Genomic DNA, 15,109 nt, shown 5'->3' with positions numbered 1-15,109 from the left:
CTGTATGTGTGTGTGGTTGTGGGGGAGGGTGGTAGTGGTATTCAGGGATGAAGGAAGTCTGGGTTTTGGGTAAAACTGAGAATTCTGGGGACTATTTGCTTCTGAAAGTAGACATCTGTGTGGCTACAGTGACTCATTAACAATACACTGTCACATGTTGTTAGATAATAAGAAGACGGGGACTTACCTGGATAGGAAGTCCTGGACTTACCTATATGTCTACGTCCATGGAAGCCTCCTAGTTTATGGCACACTGGGGTCAGAATGACAGAGCAGTATGTTGCTCTTGGAGATGCAGACTCTTGTCCTAGCCCAGGATAAAGTTGGTAGAAGGTTACTGCAGCTTGGAAGGAAGGTTGAACTCAGACCCGAGGACCACATTGACTGTGTTGGCCAAGCCCCTGTGAACTCTTCAAATGAATATGTTGAGATTTACATCCTGCTTAAGACAGGTGCCATACTGACAAGGATTGGGGAGCCCAGGTGTCAGGTACAAAGCTGCACTCTCATACTGCCTTACCTAGAGTACTGGTTGAAATGAAGGCATATCTGCAGCTCTGTCTGTGAGAGGCTCTCCCGATGTCTTCCTGTTGCCAAAACTGTGGCAGGAGTGCCTTATCAACAGTGGACAGCACCACCGCTGAGCAGAGTGTGAGCACAGGAGTCAGCCGGGATGGATCATCAGAGATTTCTTGGACTACTAACAGTGCTGCCAGTAGAGCAGATATGGGCAAGCCTGGGATATGGGCCCAGGAGGCCCCTTTCTCTATGTTAGTCTGGCACCCCTGCTGAACCTCAGCAGTGATAAGTGCTAGAAAAATGTATGGCTAGTCTAGAAGACAAAGGCAGAGCCTCCTGGAGAGAGAGTGACAGCGCTGAGTGGGGGTGTTGCTTTTAACAGATTTTTAATTTTTTCTCCTCAGAAAATTATTGAAGATCATCTCCAAAAAGAAAACACACCAGTTTCTTATTATTGACTATGAAATCAACATGACTGGGTGGGACTGGGGAAAAGACAGATTTATCAGTCCCTAAGAGCTGATGGAAACTGCATCCTTTAGGTGGAACACAGAGTTGGCTGTAAGGAGACATTCCTTTGTTTTTGTTGTCTTGAACAAAAGGAAGGACAGTAGATGACACAGGTAATGACTGGGTATATCATATATTAAGGGCACCAAGAATTTAGAGAATGGGGAATCAGGTGAGGGTGGAGGGGTGATAGGAGATCCCTGCCCCCAAAGCAGATGTTGGCAAAGGAAAAGTCAGAGAGCAGGAGTCATAAAGATGGCCCCGGGGAGTCAGCCTGGTAATGTCAGTGAGTGAGGAAGGCACAGTATAAGGCACTAGAGAGTGGTGGGAACTGTGGTGACATAGAAAGTATAGACCCTATCTGAAGGGGCAGTTGCCATTCATCTCCAGCCAAATACTGCTCAAGAGAGTTGCAGAACCTGTCGCCAGATCTTTTGGTTTTTCAAGAGAAGCTAGAAATCTGAATTTTTATTTGAAGTCCCCTGATTTTAAAAAAATATGGGCAAAATGAAAGTAGTATATATGTCAAAAAACCATTGTGGGCTGGATCTGATCACTAGGCTACCAGGATTTTTGCTCATTACTATCTTTTTGGGTTGAGTAGCTTTGTCTTTATACATCCATTCAAAGCAAAAGCTTGCATGTAGAATGACCATGGGAAGCAGTACCGCATGGTGGCTTGGGAGGAGCCTCTCTTGCTGTGCCTGACTGGGTAGACCCTAGGTCAAGTCGAGCGGGTCCCTGAAGCTCACAGCTTCCATTTGCCCTGGCCCCAGACTTCCATGAGTAAGTGAAGGTGAAGAGGGACAGGAATGTCAGCCTCTCAACCAACCTCTGTAGGGATTTGTTGGGACATACCTTTGGCTCAAACTTCCACATGAGAAATTAAATTCTGGGATCAGGAATGTGACAAAACACTTGAGTATGCAGCTGGATTTTTGCCACCAATTTGATTTACAGGGAAGTGTTGCCATAAAATGCTTGAGATCATGAATTGGACAGACTCCCCATCTGGAGAGCCATACCTTTCTCTGTGAAATTAAATATTTATGTACTTTTAAGGTTTAGTTTTGATTTTTAAAAAGCGGGTAGAAGCTTAACTATTAAAAAAAAAATGCTTCAGATCAAGTGGTAACATTCCAAGTTCACTGCAGTTAGCTTTATTGGAAAACATGGTTTTGTCTTTTAAAGAAAATCAAACGCTTCCTAAAACATTTCAAGAACTGGCTGATGTTACAACTTTGGCCAGCAGAACCCATCGAAGCCACCGAGGCGAGGGGCTGGTGTTAGTATCCGGCATATCGTGTTACACAGGAGCTTCGCCAGCTTCTCCCAATGGCGCCATCTCATGTAGCTATCCTAAGACGTATTTTATTTTGAGCCACTTTCTCAGAGGGAATTGGGTGGGTGTGGTCGTAAGAACACCTAGAAAATAGGGGTGAAACCTTTATGGGGCCAGGGGAGCCATGGCAGAGGGTGGAGTGGGGGATAGAAGCCTTCAGACTCCTCCGCCCCAGCCACTCTGCACCTGGGGCCTTTCAGCTGTTAAAATGAAAAGCCAATTATCTTCTGTAAATGAGGGAAAAAAAGAAGGAATAAAAGTGTCTATTATGTATGCTGATATGCATAACACTTCAAATAAAAGGATATATAAGCACTTGACAAATTGAGGGAGAAGGAGGGGAGAGTGCTGGGGGCAAAGAAAGTCAGATTTTTACTTTTTATACCTTTTCTGTTCTGTTTCAATGTTTTTGACCTTCATATATGATCATTGCTTTTAATTTTTTTAAGAGCAATTTAGGTGATGGAATGGTGGACCACTTATGTTATCCTGTGTTTCTGTTTTTTGAAATTTTATTTGTTAACTGAAAAAACAGCAGGCATCTTAAGAGGACCAATAATTTGGACCACTAACCACTGTCTATAATTACAGTACAATTGCTGTTCTTTTAATGGGAGCAACAAATTTGCCACACTTCACCCCTCTCTTAACCTATTTGAGAAGATAGGTATAGGAACCAGACAGAGGTCAAATATCAGCTTTATTATTAATGAAACTGGATTTATACCCAATTGGCAAGTGCAGTCTCAATTTAGCTTCCCCATACTTCCCTGTGCCCAACCCCTTCTAGCCCATGGGCTGACTTATACCATGGGAAAGTATATGTTGCATAGAATAGCAGGTTGCCAGGAATGTCCGTGCCCTACCTGTCCTATCTGGGCATCAGTGGGGCATTCATGTTCTGGCCCCAAGCTGCTTCCCCCATGGAAGAGGGCAGAGTAAAGCCCTCCAGGAAAGAGGCCGGATGAGAGACAAATGGGCCATGCACTGTTTTCTCTTTCTTCCGTTTTTCTGGTTTTTTTTTCTTCTTTTTGTTTTTTCTTCCAATGCTACCACTTTCTCTCTTGAGCAGGAATAAGTAAAAGGAAGAAAGGAAGTCCAGAAGCCTTACTTCCAGGATATCCTGGAAGATACTTACTTGTGGGAGTGGAGATCCCCAAGGGAAACACAGGACAACAGAAAGGGTCCCCTAAGGAGAAGGAAGACTGAGAGAAGGGAATATTCCAGAGGAGGTAAAGGGGAGGATCCCATAAAGCAAGGGAAAGGGGTCTGGTGCAGAAAGCAAGACGGGAAGCAGCAGTGACAGCTTTATATTGGTCTGACTCAGGGGAAGGGGGCAAATCCATATTGTTCCAGGCCTTGGTACTTGAAGAGCATAGGCCAGAAAGTGACTGGGAGTCCTCAGGGGAGGGGAGTGATCTAAGATATGCTTAATTCTAGTGTGTCTTGAATTCCCCCAAAGTAACCTGCAAGAGAAAATGGAGAGAATGTGGGGAATATACATGGTAGCTTCAATGGAAGGAAGGGTGATATGTATGAAGAGATGAGAACAGGAGAATCTCAAAAACACCCTGGCTGCATAGAGGGCTTTGTGCTTTATGTATTCACCTGTCCACTTGCCTGTTGGTCACTTTATATCAGAATGTTATTTACTTGTAGTCCTGCAGTTGACTGGCCCTTGCTGGAGCAGGGTCCATCACCCATCAGCAAGGGATGAAGACATTAGAATGGTCACACTCGTTCATAATAAACCATTGCAACTCTTGAGAAGGAAGTAGAGAATGCTCAATTTCATCGCTATAATTTATTTCTCTTTGGTGATTTTTTGGTTCTCTTTCTTTAGTTCATTCACTTAATTTCTCCACCCTTCTCCTTCCTTTCCTCATTCCTTATCTCTTTCTTCCTTTCCTGGGGTCCTTCTGTGTGCCCCACACTGTGCTAGGTGCTGAGGATGCAGTGGTGAACCTGACATTGCCCATGCTCTTGTGGAACTTAAAGTCTAGAGGTGGACCTGGAAGATAAATAGGCACAGAAGTTTAAATTGTGATTGGGAAATAAGGGAAAGATTAGGGTGCCAGGAAAGAATACTCCTTAGTGACATTCACAGTCACATCTGACATAATGAAGGAATATTTCTACTCATCTTCCCAAAAATATTCTTCTCAAAAACTTTTCCTGAAAGTTTACAGTTACCACTCAAAAGGAATCTAAAATGGAACAGACATTGAGAACACTTACAACTGACACCTGTATTTCATTTATGATTAGTCTCTTTTTGGGTTTGATAACTTCCCATCCATGTATCTACCTGTAATTTTCATCTTGCTAAGCAAAAAAGTTGTCATACTTTATATAGTAGGTATATTGCCAGTGTTGAATAGATGTATTATTGTTTAAAGGTTCATTAAAAGAAACTCTCAACTTCTTTCTTAGTGTATTTGTAGTATTTCTTCCATTGGAAAAAAATGAGTGAAGAATAGGAAAAGTTATTGGGTCTTTCCATGTTACATATTAAATCATGTCAAATAAGAGATTTTGACTGAGCCTGCCAGTAAGGTCTTAATGATACGTTACTGCACAGTATTTCCTAACAAAGTCTGTATACATGTAAGCAGCAGGTAGTTATGGTCATCAGTGGTGGCAATTCGTTTTTACAATATAGATACGAGAGTTCCATTCCTTAAGTTCTGCCCCAGAACGGACTGGTGAGTTGTCACTGTCCCTGTTGACAAATGTGAATAATAACTAAAAATACTTCAGGCTGCATTTGTCTGATTCTGGCTTGGTATGTGGCTAAAGGGGAAAAAAACCTTTCTGGGAAGTGTGATGCTTCTTTAACAGCAAATGGATTGAATTGATGCAAGTCTGATGTGCAACAGGGGGTACTTAACCTTCTATCTAGAATCAAACGCCAGAATTGGAGAAGCTGAAGCCAACCACGACTTCATAAAGATAAGACATTTACTTGATCTGCATGACTGGAGGAAGGATTTGGGGACTAAGATGTGTTTGAAAACTTAGTTGGTTTACTTTTAATGTCAGCAGATTTGCTGCCCTGAAATGACAGATATGGAAGCTGCTTGGGGATAGTGGCAGGATGACCGAAAGACCAGCACAGATCTTCAAAGAAAGGGGAAGACTGAGCCACCCTGTGTTCATTGGGTATCATGGGAGTTGGTGATAGAGGCAGTTGGCTTGGGTCATATGACCTATGAGAGGGAAACAGTGACCCAGCTGGGTGGGAGTCCTAGGCAAATCAGAAGGAACACAAGGATAGGGTTGGTGGTGTCATTTTCATGAAGTAGAGCTATTATTTCGTTCTGGTGAAAAAATGTATAAGTGTTCATTTGGGTACTTGTCGGTAACCCAAGAAAACAGAGTGAAAAATGATTGACAGTGGATGCTTTAAAATTTGTGACTGCAGATGAAGGAGCATCCCATTTGTATGACACATTTAAAACTTCTGCCTTAGGTTAGTCCCTTGACATGACTTTTCACTTGCTGGCATTTTGGAAGTCTATGCCAAATGACAGCTCTCTGCCACCCAGCCTTTGCTCAGTCTAGCTATGCTTTTTTTTTTTTTTCTCCCCCCCGCTGTGACGACTCCTAGACCAGGGCCAGGGTTTTTATGGGAGCCTCTCTACATTGCGTTCATCTGTTGCGCTTACACAAGCAGTTGCCTCCCTTGAGTTAAGACTCTAATGAAGCATGCTTTCCCCTGGAGCCAGCCTGCCCCTCCCCTGGCCTCTCTCTCTCCACCAAGGCAGAGAGCGAAGCCCTCTCTTATGATATTGCAGAGTTAATAATGCTGCTCTATTGGTTTTGTGAGCCTCTCAGTCACAGGGGGAATGTGTGGGGGATGGGCCCCAAGCTAGGAAGTGTGCCTCCTCTAACTCTCTTTCCGGCCCTGAAGCTTTTGTTTTGAATCTGGAAGCTTCAGACCAGGGCTGGATTTCCAAAGGTCAAATGTGCCTGCACATTTTGTCCTTAATGAGTGAGCCTTGCCCTGGAGCCCTCGCTGAAGGCGCCTGCGTTGAATCTGAGTAGTAGCCACAGAAGCAGTAGCTCCATAGCCAAATCCATTTGCCTGACATGCCACCCTTGAGAGAGCCTCCACGAGCCACTGAGGGTTACTGGCCAGGAGAATGTGGTCATAAATGCATGTCTACAGGAATGGGTGAGGTTTCCTTTTTGCTTAGAAAGCCAGAAAAACATCAACAGAGAGAGGCTACAAAGCAGAAAAACATACCCAGACTCCGAACCTTCAGTTCCCTCAACTGACAAAATACTTGAGGGTTTTAAATAGAAACAGTTTAACTTTTTTTTTTTTTTGGTAAATGGAGGGATTTTTTTTTTTCATGTCATTTCTTTTGTTCCTCTTCCTCATTTTCTTCTCCTCCTCCTCCTTTTACTTTAAACTTTACGTGTGAAGATCAACTGATCTCTGAGGAACTGACGTTTCTTTTATTTGATGATGAGAATTTCCTAACTCATTGTTGATCTTTTTGCTTCAGCTACCAGGCAAATCAGAGATGAGTTTAATTCTGTGCTTAATCCAGTGGCATTGTATTTTAGCTAAGATTTTTTTTGATAGTATTTATTTCCATCTTTTTGGGTTTTGTCCTCATTTTGATTTGTTATGTTTTTGTTGTTGTGTTGTTTTCTAAATTGGGAGTATCAGTCTGAAAAAGAAAATGCCTTGAATGATTTCTTTGACATTTAGGTTCAGGAATATCACTGGGCAACATTAATACGGCTACTGGGTTTCACTAATATCTTTTGAGCTCTTTAATCTTTCCCTGAGTTATCACTGAAGATCTAGAGAAACAGCTACTGCCTTTTAGAAGTGCGTTGGCAAAGCTTAACCCAGAGCAAACCACCAATGTAATTGTCAGCCAAAAATAGAAGACATTTTTTAGGCCCGAGGGCATGCATTTCTTGCTCCTCCGTAATGTGTACCCCATTCATCAGAATCCTAGACTGCTCATCCTTTTCCAGACACACAGTGGGGCTTTCACCTCTCTACACCCTTGCTCACACTGTGTGCACTTTTTAGAATGTCATTGTTCCCTTTCTCCACTTGGCAAAAGTTCACTCATTTGCCAAGGTCTGTTTCAAATGTGACTTCTTCACAAGGCCTTCACTGACCTCTGCAGGGAGAGTGAGTGGGTTCCTTCTCTGTGTTGCCATACCACTTCATTCAGCCTAGTGCTTAGTCGCATGTGCTGTGTTATCTTGAATTGCATGTATTTCTATCCCTCTCTTCCTGTGATACCATGAGCACCTTGTAGGCAGATATTGAGCTCTAGAATCGCTTGAAGTCTCCAGCACAATGTCCTATATAAAGTGGAAGCTCAGTAAATAACTGTTGAATTAATTTGAAAGAAGTACAAGATAACAGACCCTGCCCTGAAAGGCCATCAGAGTTCAAACAGGTGTCACCTGTTTATCTTAGCAGAGCTTTTTCTCCCCAGGCATTCATTATCTTATTGGGCAAAATCTACCAATCTCCCAGTCACCTCAGTGAAGAGCATGCAATGAAAAATAATAGTAGCTCCTAATCAAGATTTTTAAAAAATTCATTGAAGAAGTATTTATTGAGCAGCTATTGATTATGCCCAAAAGAAGTTTAAAGCTTGGTGCCAGACCTCAAGGCTCATTGGATTTGTCAGAGCTCTTGCCTCTTCCTGCTTGACATTTCATGGTGCCTTCTCTACAGATTTCTCATTCTTGTGACAAGATTCTTATTGAGAGCAGGGATTCCAGCCGAGTACTGCGGGGCAGGAGGAGCTGAGCAGGGCCGAATGAAAGTGCAGCTCATCATTATTTCCTTCAGCTGGGTCTCTCCTCAAATAAGGGATTTCTTAGGGAAACTGTGGGACGTGAGGCTTAAGGTTCTCCAGCTGATAACTACCCTAAGAGACAGTTATACCATAATTTGGATCCACAGGGAAGAAAGAACTGCCCAAATATGCCTCTGTTTTTTTCTTTTGCCTCTGCTTTCATTTGAAACAGAAGGCTCAGACTGGCAGCTGTGGGCCCTTTGCTTGTCTCACGCACTCTAACTTTTTAATACTCATTGCCAACATTGAAACAATTGGAGAGATTCCACATAAACCCCAAAAGATTTGGGCTTCCTTTAAAAACACTTGCCAACTCTGGACCTCTGTTTTCTACATGATATCGATGAGCTGGTGCTATGTACCAACTTCCCCTTTTAGATGGCATGTGCTATCCAGTTTACCACAGTCCCCACCCCTCATTATTGTCATATTCCTTGACTGTTTCACTAATGTATGTTATGCTCCTAGTCCCTGAATGTGTTTGAGTTTGATTCCTAACCTAGATTTATGGGAAGATGTGTTACCTTTTAGAGGAAAGCATCCTCAGAAATAGCATCTACCTACTGCAGCACCCTAAGGACAAGTATGTGGTCTTGTATCATGGGACCTTGTCTAGGAGACTGAGCAGAAACTGCAGTCCAGAGTCTGAAATTGAGATACCTGGAGCATGGCACTGCTATAAGCAGAGGGATCAGAGTAGGGAATTCCATTTTCCTCATACCCTGGTTCCCTAAGCAAACAAGATTTGGTCATGAGAAATTTATTATATTCACGGAGGATTTTCATACCATTGGGAAGGATATATATATAGTCCATTTTATATATCTCTATATATATACTAATACTTTTGGTTTCTTGATAAAGAAACCAGAGACTGAAGATGAGATGACTTGAGGAAACGCATAGAGCTAATTATGTAGAAGGAGCAGGCAGAAGTCATCCTGACTTTTGTCTGTGTTCTCTCCATGACTCCACATTGTCTTTTATTTTACATACTTACAAAAAGTCTCAAAGTTGAAGGATTTGGTGTCCAAGACGGATCAGGTACCCTTTACAATGAGATACTTAATTGCCTGCTTTTAACAGAGATGGTCTTCTACCAGCATACATTTCTGAATCACAATAGTCTTCCTCACCCACTGGCCCACCCTTCTTTTTAGTCTGTTACTAACAGGTGATTATAGACACAACTACTTTAATGTTTAGGCTCCATGTAGGGAGCAGGGCCAAGTGTAAATTGTGCCCTTGAGGTGATCTGCTTCCCAGAGTTTGATGATCCTCTTGGTTAGAGGTGTGTTACTGATGGGAGCAGCTACTGGCATCCAAGATTTTTATACAAGAATGAGATGCTTACTGTTCATCTGTTTTCCATTGCTCCTATTTTTACTCCTCTTGTTGCTTCTATTTCTTACATGCTTTTTTTTCCTCACTGCATTTTCTGTTTTGAACAAAAGGGATGGGTGATATATGATACTGGTGTTGGAAAATGCATTAGTCTCTAAGGACTGGGAGAAAAATGTTGACTTATTTAGTCCAATTTGTATTTTCATATTTATTAAAATTAGAAAATGTTTTTTAAAATGTTGGATAGCAGGTTCAAATCCCCCCTTTAAAAATTATATAAATTTGAGTTTCTATGTATTTGGTATTAATCAAATAACCAAAATAAGGTCTTCAATAAATTGTGTTTATAAGTTTTCTCAATTCAAATCTTAAAAAAACAGGCCAGGCCCAGTGGCTCATGCCTGTAATCCCAGCACTTTGGGAGGCCGAGGTGGGCGGACCACGAGGTCAAGAGATTGAGACCATCTTGGCCAACATGGTGAAACCCCATCTCTACTAAAAATACAAAAATTAGCTGGGTGTGATGGCGGGCACCTATAGTCCCAGCTATTCGGAAGGCTGAGGCAGGAGAATCGCTTGAACCTGGGAGGCAGAGGTTGCAGTGAACTGAGATTGCGCCACTGCACTCCAGCCTGGCGACTGTCTCAAAAAAGAAAGACTCTTGTCTCAGAAAAGAAAAAAAAGATCTTAAAAAATGATTCTAATTCTATCTGTTTTCCTCTCAATGACTACACTTGATGTTGACAGGTTGAAATGTCTGAAATCCCATTTGCTTTTAACAATTCAACCAAGACTTGCAATGACCAGAGAGAACTCGGAAATTGCATAATTAAGGGTGTTGTCAAAACCAAGACTATTTGCCCCAGTCTCACCAGGAGAGATTACGTAGAGAAATGTAGTTGAAAAGCTTATGAAATGAAGTTTGGGATCTGATGGTTTCCAACTTGAGAAGATCCAAAATCTTCATCAGGAATCCTTGTTTTTCCAAGGTACTAAGAGATAATGGTTTGTTGGATTTTTAGAATGTTTTGAGATCCTTGGTGGAAAGTTCAGGGTTGGACCAGAAAAAAAAAAACCTAATTGTTAGTGGCCAAGAAACTTTTCGTTCTGTTTCTGGTCTTTTTGGTAGTATGGTTACAGAACAGTGAAAAACTCAGTTTTCTTTACTAAGTTAGGTTCCCCATAAATAGGATGGGGATTTTAATCTTTGCTGCCTATTACAGTCTCACAGGGGGACTCCAAGGTTACAAGATTACCAGATAAGTATCGATAAGCATTTTCAGATGCTTTTCCCAAAAGAATTCTCTGTAAAAGAAAAAAGAAATGTATGTCATTTCATATGGAATGGATTGGAAAAATCCCAGTTTCACCTGGGAGTTAGAGCTGTTACAGCTTTGCTCCTGTTTCTGTCAGCCTGTTTTCTAGAGAAGATGGATGGTTTCTACAGGTCTCTGATTCAGTACCTCGTGGGCTGAAAGCTCAGGGCGTGCTTTCAAAAGAGTGAGGATAAAGCATCCCCTACCTTCGCAAAAAGGATCCTCTCATTCACATAGTTGTTAGCAAATCCTGATAGTGTAGGCGCCATTTTCATTTTCTTTTCCAAAAAAGCACACGCAAGGAAGAACTCAAGTTATTGAAGATCAAGCCAAATAAATGACCAAATTTCGTGGCAATCGCAGACACAGACACAAACATCGAAATATCTCCTTATTTAAGGCAGCAGCTCTGCTGGGGCCTACATTCCAGGATTCTCAGCAGAGAAAACATGTTTTCTTTATAGAGGAGTTTTATTAGCAGCAGTGTTCCGGTATGTGGTTCAGGTTAATTAATGATGTAGTCACACTGGTGTCTTGCCATGAGTTTTATTCTAGTAAGTAGGGCACTAGGAAATTGTATTGGCATATCTTGTCATGCCAAAAAAGAATTCTTAATTTGGACCACTAAAATACATTTCCATGGGATCTGTCAACAAGGTAGTTTAAGAATTCTTAATGTGGATACTGCCTTAGACTAAGAATGAACTCACCATTAACTATAAGTAGCAGATGCAGTGGTTTCAATGAATATATGCTGTTCTTAAATATTTTTTTGGCTGAGATGATTGAGACCTCAAAGACCCAGACCACCCACAAGCTCTGGTGGAGTTGACCTTCATTGTATGAGAAGATTTGTATCAAGGACCACCTTTTTCCCATGAGAGTGTTTATTAATTTTAAATCATGATGGTGTTTTAAAACTTAATTTGTGTTGTGCATATGTAGCAACCTTCCTTGGAGGTTGAAACAACAAAGCAACTGGATTGGAAATTAGATTTTCCCCCTTATGCTGCTAATGTAGTTCTTGCTCCACTGGGATTTCTCCTTTGCATGGGCTGATGATTTCTTTGAAACTATATGGAAATTGGTTCAGACAGGAACAAAGGGGAGAGGGGATGGCAGTGATGATTCAAATTAATGTCTCTTCCTCAATGAGAGTCTGGTGTGCCTGAAAGTGCATGTCATTCGGTATCAGTCAAGCCACCTAAGGTTAAGTGAGGTGCCAGAGCTACTGGAATCCAAACTTCAGGGTCTCAGCACTTGATTTTTTTCCCTGTCATGTTGGGTTGAATTGTTAATTTGAAATCTGCAACATTGCAATGGGGTTCAGAATTGGGCAAAGCACAATTTTACTTTTCTTTACATGATGGAACATCAACTCTTCCCCTCTCCCTCATCTTTCCCCAGCCAGGATGGGAAAGATTCCTATTGCCTGACATAATGAATAAGAGAAAGAACATCTTTGTGACTCTAGGGACAACGAAAGATTTAGAGAGAGAGGCATCCAAAATACATTAAAGAGAATCTACACTTCATTAACAGTGGCACACTATGCACATGTGAATGCACACACACACTCACACTCATAGGAACCCTGTACTGCTTATATTCCATATTTCCATCCTCCACTCTTGCCTAGTTCAAACTCCATACCCTCTTAATTGGATTTTGGCTCACTTCCAGGTTCAGTGTTCGAGGGTTCTGTATCTGTGAAATAATGATCCTGAAATAAATAGCACTTCTCAGTAGAGATACCTTTTCATGTAAAATTCTTAAAGGGAGTGGGAGGGAAGGAAAAGCTTCTGTGTTTAGGAATTTATGGCAAAGATACCAGGATGGGCCCACATAGGAATTTTAAAGGACCTCACCTGTGTAAGTGGTGTGTGGGGCTTACAGAAAACACGAGTCCTCGCCAACTGCTAGGTTTGAATGGACCTCTTCATTTAAGGACCTTTCATGTAAGGACTGATAGAAGTGGGGCTGCTAATGTCAGGGAATGAATTCCTGTGACCCTCAAGTGCTTCAGAGACTGGTGGCTGGAGTTGCCTTTCTCAGGGACATCCTGTTAGGTGACAGAAATGGGAATAAAGTGGGCTGAGCCTGTCTCTTTGATCTGTTCACCCAGGATACCAGTTAATAAGCAGTCATTATGCAGGTGAGGAGAGGGGAGGGGTGGGTTTTGTTCATGTTAGTGAATGCATGATGCAATATGGACTGCTGAGGAGAAAAGCCCTCTTTGTGTCTATTTGAAATGGGCAGCCACAAGCACCCACAACTGACCTCTCCACCTTGAAAAGAGGCTCCATTTGGCTTCTGTCTGATGAGTACGAAGCAGCAAGTGCCTTCTCAGTGTAAAAACTCGCACTGAGGAGAAATGATGAGGGAGCCTTTTGACCTAATAAGGTGAGCATTTTAGGATAGATTTTCTGACTGGAGACACCAGCTCACGTGTTCCCTGGAATTCCGGGATTGATTAGTGGCTTCATTGGTTCACTGATTGATTCAACTAGTATGTTTTGGATGTCTTTTCCAGGTACTGTGCTGGGTGCTGGGGATTCACTGGTACATACACTAAATCCCTGTTCTCCTGAAACTTCTATGTTAATAGGGAAAGATAAACGATAAACATGCAAGCAAATAATTTAGACCTTTCCAGGACTTGGTAAGTTCTAAAAAGCAAATAAAATGAGGTAGTATGATGAAGAATGAATGGGCTGTTTGGCCTAGTTTCTCTAGGCAGGTCAAAGAAGGATTCTCTGAGTAGGTGACAATGAAGCTAAGACATAATCGATGAAAAGGAAACAGATGTGCAGTGACCTGGGGAGTCTGCGTTCTGGGATGCGGACGGAGTTACTAGGGCTCTGAGAGAGGGATGAACTGGGGGCATTTATGCGAGAAGTGTCCTGTCTGAAGGGGAGAAGCAGAGGAGTAGAAAAGAGTAAGGTCAGATCATGTAGAGTCTGGTTTGCTGTGGTAAGGAACTGAGAGTGACAACAGGCCACTGAAGGATTATCAGCAAGAAGTTTGAGCCAGAAAGAGTCTTTGAGAGTGTGGTTCATCCATTTTTTTCAGGGAAGGAAGTGAATTCTCTACTCAGATTCAGTAGTTTGCTGGAAAGGGAAGGGGTGGTGTGGGAAAGGCAGGCGCTGAACCTGATTCCCAGGCCAGAGTTCTTTTCACCAATAAAAAATGACAGTTGAAAATAGCGTTTTGTTCACTCATCCTAATTGCTTCTCTTCCTGGTGGTTTCTGGAGGCCAGAGGAGAAAAGAGGAAGTGGCAGAGGGAGAGGGCATTCTCCAGGGCAAGGAGACAGCTTTTACTTCCAACACAGGTGCATACTCTCAGGGCTACCCCGTGAAGCTAAATTGGCCTCTCTGTTTAGAAATCCGGATCTGTCCCAGACAGTAAGCATTTAATTTTTTTTTTTTCCAAATGAAAAACGTTAGAGACAAGTAAATAACACCTATAGTTAAATCTGAAAATACTGACGTGTTCTACCAGAAATGTTGGTAATAAACACATGCACACTGCTTCTGATGTTCCTTTGGTGAAGAAGGAAGAATTTCTGGCTTTCATGATACTCTTGAATCTCTTCCTACCCAGGATTGTGATCACTGTTGACTTTCACTTTGATTGTTTGGGAGTTGATTCAATTACTCATTCATTCATTCATTCATTTGACAAATGCTTGAGGCAGGCTGCAAGTCAGGCACAGGTCTGGTATCTTTGAAGAGTCACATTCTTGTGAAGTTTACGTTTTAGATGTTGTGAGGCTTGTATCCATGGTGAAGCAGGAAATTAAACCTTCATAGCATCCTGTAAACATGGATTATTGAGTGTCTTAGGGCTTTTAATAAAGGCCTTGAGGTCCCTGTCAGAGGAGGGTTCAAAGACCACTTTCTTCCAGGTTCTCCAAACCCTTTTTTTTTTTAACCACTCAATGACAGCAGAGCTATCTATCAGTTCCTCTGAACTTGTTCTGAATGAGCTTTTCTTACTGTTCAGTCTTCACTCTCCTATTACTGTTTTGCTTCCTCATAGAATTCCAGATTAGTGGGCCCCTGGAAGTTCAGCTGGTAGATGAGAAAACTGAGCCCATTGAAGTTAAAGTCACCCAGCTAGTCAGGGTTGATCTTCCCAACTCAGAGTCCCCTGCTTACTTAAACTTTTATATCCAACAGGTTTACTTCCCCTGGAAACTTATTTGGTATTTTTTATTTTCCATCTCCATGC

The 15,109-nt window shown here is 42.0% G+C and overlaps 1 protein-coding gene across 15 annotated transcripts in view, besides 2 other annotated features; it reads left to right on the top strand.

Annotated features, from left to right (window-relative positions):
• KLF7 (KLF transcription factor 7) overlaps positions 1-15,109 on the top strand; it is a 99,715-nt gene that overhangs the window by 23,728 nt on the left and 60,878 nt on the right. The window contains exon 1 of one of the 15 annotated variants that reach the window (XM_047446148.1): positions 924-1,142. The exons of the other annotated variants lie outside the window; for them this stretch is intronic. Coding sequence (XP_047302104.1) covers positions 1,134-1,142 — 9 coding nt within the window. The 5' untranslated portion in view covers positions 924-1,133. Of the gene's footprint in view, positions 1-923; positions 1,143-15,109 lie in introns of those variants that run through there. 15 annotated transcript variants of the gene reach the window in all.
• Positions 498-999: an enhancer, noted in NCBI's record as "H3K27ac hESC enhancer chr2:208013849-208014350 (GRCh37/hg19 assembly coordinates)". NCBI's record gives its function as "activates a minimal SCP1, AML or CMV promoter by ChIP-STARR-seq in primed H9 embryonic stem cells {active_cell/tissue: H9 hESC(primed)}" and the evidence as "EXISTENCE:reporter gene assay evidence [ECO:0000049][PMID:30033119]".
• Positions 7,341-7,842: an enhancer, noted in NCBI's record as "NANOG hESC enhancer chr2:208007006-208007507 (GRCh37/hg19 assembly coordinates)". NCBI's record gives its function as "activates a minimal SCP1, AML or CMV promoter by ChIP-STARR-seq in naive H9 embryonic stem cells {active_cell/tissue: H9 hESC(naive)}" and the evidence as "EXISTENCE:reporter gene assay evidence [ECO:0000049][PMID:30033119]".

Source organism: Homo sapiens, chromosome 2 (assembly GCF_000001405.40).
Source record: "Homo sapiens chromosome 2, GRCh38.p14 Primary Assembly".
Taxonomy (NCBI): domain Eukaryota; kingdom Metazoa; phylum Chordata; class Mammalia; order Primates; family Hominidae; genus Homo; species Homo sapiens.
Note: the sequence above shows the minus strand (reverse complement) of the source record. Positions and strands in the feature narration are given on the sequence as shown.